This window comes from Homo sapiens, chromosome 2 (genome assembly GCF_000001405.40).
Source record: "Homo sapiens chromosome 2, GRCh38.p14 Primary Assembly".
Classification (NCBI taxonomy): domain Eukaryota; kingdom Metazoa; phylum Chordata; class Mammalia; order Primates; family Hominidae; genus Homo; species Homo sapiens.
The window spans coordinates 82,946,266-82,951,438 of NC_000002.12; the positions used below are offsets into that span (position 1 = coordinate 82,946,266).

The following is a 5,173-nucleotide window of genomic DNA, read 5'->3' on the forward strand; positions in this document are numbered from 1 at the left end:
ACCTGATTGCCCTGGCCAGAACTTCCAAAACTATGCTGAATAAGAGTGGTAAGAGAGGGCATCTTTGTCTTGTGCCAGTTTTCAAATAGAATGCTTGCAGCTTTTGCCTATTCAGTATGATATTGGCTGTGGGTTTGTCATAAATAGGTCTTACTATTTTGAGAGACATTTCATCAATACTTAGTTTGTTGAGTGTTTTTAGCATGAAAGGGTGTTGAATTTTCTTTTTCTTTTTCTTTTTTGTTTTGAAACAGAGTTTTGCTTTTGTTGACCAGGATGGAGTGCAATGGCGTGATCTCGGCTCACCACAAATTCTGCCTCCCAGTTTCAAGTGATTCTCCTGCCTCACCCTCCCGAGTAGCTGGGATTACAGGCATGCGCCACCACACCTGGCTAATTTTGTATTTTTAGTAGAGATGGGGTTTCTCCATGTTGGTCAGGGTGGTCTGGAATTCCCAACCTCAGGTGATCCGCCCACTTCGGCCTCTCAAAGTGCTGGGATTGTAGGCGTGAGCCACTGCACCCAGCCGAAGGGGTGTTGAATTTTACTGAAGGCCTTTTCTGCATCTATTGAGATAAGTATGTGGTTTTCCTTACTGGCTCTGTTTCTGTGATGGATTATGTTTATTGATTTGCATATGTTGAAGCAGCCTTGCATACCAGGGATGAAGCCGACTTGATGGTGGTGGATAAGCTTTTTAATGTGCTGCTGGATGTGGTTTGCCCATATTTTATTAAGGATTTTCATGTCAATGTTCTTCAGGGATATTGGCCTGAAATTTTCTTTTTTTCTTGTGTCTCTGCCATGTTTTCGTATCAGGAAGAAGCTGGCCTCATAAAAGGAGATAGGGAGGAGTCCCTCTTTTAACATTATTTGGAATAGTTTTAGAAGGAATGGTACCAGCTTCTCTTTGTACCTCTGGTAAAATTCGGCTGTGAATCCATCTGGTCCTGGGCTTCTTTTGGTTGGTAGGCTATTAATTACTGCCTCAATTTCAGAACTTGTTATTGGTCTATTCAGGGATTCAAGTTCTTCCTGGTTTAGTCTTGGGAGGGTGTTTGTGTCCAATAATTTATCCATTTCCTCTAGATTTTCTAGTTCATTTTCGTAGAGGTGTTTATAGTATTCTCTGACGGTAGTTTGTATTTCTGTGGGATCAGTGGTGATATACCCTTTATCATATTTTATTGGGTCTATTTGATTCTTCTCTCTTTTCTTCTTTATTAGTCTGGCTAGTGGTCTATCTATTTTGTTAATCTTTTCAAAAAACCAGCTCCTGGATTCATTGATTTTTTGAACGGTTTTTCGTGTCTCTATCTCTTTCAGTTCTGCTTTGATCTTAGTTATTTCTTGTCTTCTGCTAGCTTTTGAATTTGTTTGCTGTTGCTTCTCTAGTTCTTTTAATTGTGATATTAGGGTGTCGATTTTAGATCTTTCCTGCTTTCTGATGTGAGCATTTAGTGCTGTAAATTTCCCTGTAAACACTGCTTTATCTGTATCCCAGAGATTCTAATAATGTTGTGTGTCTTTGTTCTTATTGGTTTCAAAGAACTTCTTTATTTCTGCCTTAATTTCGTTATTTATGCTGTAGTCATTCAGGAGCATGTTGTTCAGTTTCTATGTAGTTGTGCAGTTTTGAGTGAGTTTCTTAATTCTGTGTTCTAACTTGATTGCACTGTGGTCTGAGAGACTTTCTTATTATTTCCATTCTTTTGCATTTGCTGAGGAGTGTTTTATTTCCAATTATGTGGTCAATTTTAGAATAAGTGTGAAGCGGTGCTGAGAAGAATGTATATTCTGTTGATTTGGGGTGGAGAGTTCTGTAGATGTCTATTAGCTCCACTTGGTCCAGAGCTGAGTTTAAGCCCTGAATATCCCTGTTAATTTTCTGTCTTGTTGATATGTCTAATATTGACAGTGGGGTATTAAATTCTCCCACTATTATTGTGTGGGAGTCTAAGTCTCTTTGTAGGTCTCTAAGAACTTTCTTTATGAATCTGGGTGCTCCTGTATTGGGTGCATATATATTTAGAATAGTTAGCTCTTCTTGTTGTGTTGATCCCTTTACCATTGTGTAAAGGGATGCCTTCTTTGTCTTTTTTTATCTTTGTTGGTTTAAAGTCTGTTTTATCAGAGACTAGGATTGCAACCCCTGCATTTTTTTTTTTTGCTTTCCATTTGCTTGGTAAATATTCCTCCATCTCTTTATTTTGAGCCTATGTGTGTCTTTGCACGTGAGATGAGGATCTTGAATATAGCACACTGATTGGTCTTGACTCTTTATCCAATTTGCCAGTATGTGTCTTTTAATTGGGGCACTTAGCCCATTTACAATTAACGTTAATATTGTTGTGTGTGAATTTGATTCTGTCATTATGATGCTAGCTGGTTATTTTGCCCATTGGTTGTGGCAGTTTCTTTATAGTGTCGATAGTCATTACATTTTGGTTTGTTTTTACAGTGGCTGGTACCGGTTTTTCCTTTCCATGTTTAGTGCTTCCTTCAGGAGCTCTTGTAAGGCAGGCCTGGTGTTGACAAAATCCCTCAGCATTTGCTTGTCTGTAAAGGATTTTATTTCTCCTTCACTTATGAAGCTTAGTTTGGCTGGATGTGAAATTCTGGTTAAAAATTATTTTCTTTAAGAATGTTGAATATTGGCCCCCACTCTCTTCTGGCTTGTAGGGATGCTGCACAGAGATTCACTGTTAGTCTGCTGGGCTTCCCTTTGTGGGTAACCTGACCTTTCTCTCTGGCTGCCCTTAACATTTTTTCCCTTAATTTCAACCTTGTGAATCTGATGATTATGTGTCTTGGGTTGCTCTTCTCAAGGAGTATCTTCGTAGTGCTCTCTGGTGTCTTGCAAGGTTGGGGAAGTTCTCCTGGATAATATCCTGAGTGTGATTTCCAACTTGGTTCTATTCTCCCCATCACTTTCAGGTACACCAATCAAATGTAGGTTTGGTCTTTTCACAAAGTCCCATGTTTCTTGGAGGCTTTGTTCATTCCTTTTCATTCTTTTTTCTCTAATCTTGTCTTCTTCCTTTATTTCATTAAGTTGATCTTCAATCTCTGATATCCTTTCTTCTGCTTGAGGGATTTGGCTATTGATACTTGTGTATGCTTCATGAAGTTCTCGTGCTATGTTTTTCAGCTCCATCAGGTCATTTATGTTCTTCCCTAAACTGGTTATTCTCATTAGCACTTCCTGTAACTTTTTATCAAGATTCTTAATGTCCCTGCATTGAGTTAGAACATGCTCCTTTAGCTCAGAGGAATTTATTATTACCTACCTTCTGAAGCCTGCTTCTGTCAATTTGTCAAACTCATTCTCCATTCAGTTTTGTTCCCTTGCTGGCAAGGAACTGTGATCCTTTGGAGAAGGAGAGACATTCTGGTGTTTGAAATTTTCAGGATTTTTGCACTGGTTTTTCCTCATCTTCATGGATTTATCTACCTTTGGTCTTTGATGTTGGTGACCTTCAGATGGTGGTTTTGCTTGGTCATCCTTTTTGTTGCTGTTGATGCTACTGCTGTCTGTTAGTTTTCCTTCTAACAGTCGGGCCCCCCTTCTGCAGGTCTGCTGGAGTTTGCTGGAGGTCCACTCCAGACCCTGTTTGCCTGGGTATCACCAGCAGAAGCTGCAGAACAGCAAAGATTGCTATGGGCTCCTTCCTCTGGAAGTTTTGTCCCAGAGGGGCATCAGCCAGATGCCACCTCGAGCCACCCCTATATGAGGTGTCTGTCTACCCCTGCTGGGAGGTGGCTCCCTGTCAGAAGGCACAGGGGTCAGGGACCCACTTTAGGAGGCAGTCTGTCCCATAGCAGAGCTTGAGCACTGTGTGGGAGATCCACTGCTCTCTTCAGAGCTGGGAGGCAGGAATGTTTAAATCTGCTGAAGCTGTGCCCACAGCTTCCCCCAGGTGCTCTGTCCCAGGGACATGCGAGTTTTATCTATAAGCCCCCAGCTGGGGCTGCTGCCTTTCAGAGATGCCCTGCCCAGAGAGGAGGAATCTAGAGAGGCAGTCTGGCTACAGTGGCTCCACTTAGTCTGAATTTCCCAGAGGCTTTGTTTACACTGTAAGGGAAAACCACCTACTCAAGCCTCAGTAATGGCAGACTCCCCTCCCCGAACCAAGCTGGAGTGTCCCAGGTCAACTTCAGGCGTCTGTGCTGGCAGTGAGAATTTCAAGCCAGTGGGTCTTAGCTTGCTAGGCCCCATGGGGGTGGTATCTGCTGAGCAAAAACAGTTGGCTCCCTGGATTCAGCCCCCTTTCCAGGGGAGTGAACAGTTCTGTCTCATTGGCATTCCAGGTGCCACTGGGGTACGAAAAAAAACTCCTCCAGCTACCTCGGGTGTCTGCCCAAATGGCCGCCTAGTTTTGTGCTTGAAACCCAGGACCCTGGTGGTGTAGGCACTTGTGGGAATCTCCTGGTCTGCGAGTTGCAAAGACAGTGGGAAAAGCATAGTATCTGGGCCCACCGTCACTCACTCACGGCTTCCCTTGGCTAGGTGGGGGAGTTCCCTGACCCCTTGAACTTCCTGGGTGATGCCCCACCCTCCTTCTGCTCACCCTCCATGGGCTGCACCCACTGTCTAACCAGTCCCAATGAGATGAGCCGGATAGCTCAGTGGAAAGTGCAGAAATCACCTGCCTTCTGCATTGGTCTTGCTAGGAGCTGTAGACCAGAGCTATTCCTATTCAGCCATCTTGCCCAAGAATCAGTTTTGCTTTATTTTTTCATGAAGATTAGTAAGTTCAGTACATTTTCACATACCTACTTACAATTGGTATGTACTTTTTTGAGAAATGTCAATTTAAATTCTTTGCATAATTTTAATTGAGTTATTTGGGTATTTTTGCTATTGAGTTGCATGAGTTCTTTATTCTTTTAGGATATTAACCCTTTGTTAGATATATATTTTGTAAACATTTTCTCCTATTCTGTGGGTTATCTTTTTTCTCTGTTGATTATGTCCTTTTTTGGGCAGAAGCTTTATAGTTTGATGTAACCCCATTAATCTAGTTTTGCATTTGTTTCCAAAAAATCATTGTCAGCCTTGCACCCACCTGTAGGTAAATGTTTTTTCTCACCAAAACAAGTCTTTAAAATCTGGAGGAAGTGACTGCTTCCTCAAATGCAAAGCCTCCATATAAATTTTGTTATATAGGT

General features: G+C 41.9%; 2 annotated features.

The window, feature by feature from the left end:
• Positions 3,613-4,113: an enhancer, noted in NCBI's record as "H3K27ac hESC enhancer chr2:83177002-83177502 (GRCh37/hg19 assembly coordinates)". NCBI's record gives its function as "activates a minimal SCP1, AML or CMV promoter by ChIP-STARR-seq in primed H9 embryonic stem cells {active_cell/tissue: H9 hESC(primed)}" and the evidence as "EXISTENCE:reporter gene assay evidence [ECO:0000049][PMID:30033119]".
• Positions 4,114-4,614: an enhancer, noted in NCBI's record as "H3K27ac hESC enhancer chr2:83177503-83178003 (GRCh37/hg19 assembly coordinates)". NCBI's record gives its function as "activates a minimal SCP1, AML or CMV promoter by ChIP-STARR-seq in primed H9 embryonic stem cells {active_cell/tissue: H9 hESC(primed)}" and the evidence as "EXISTENCE:reporter gene assay evidence [ECO:0000049][PMID:30033119]".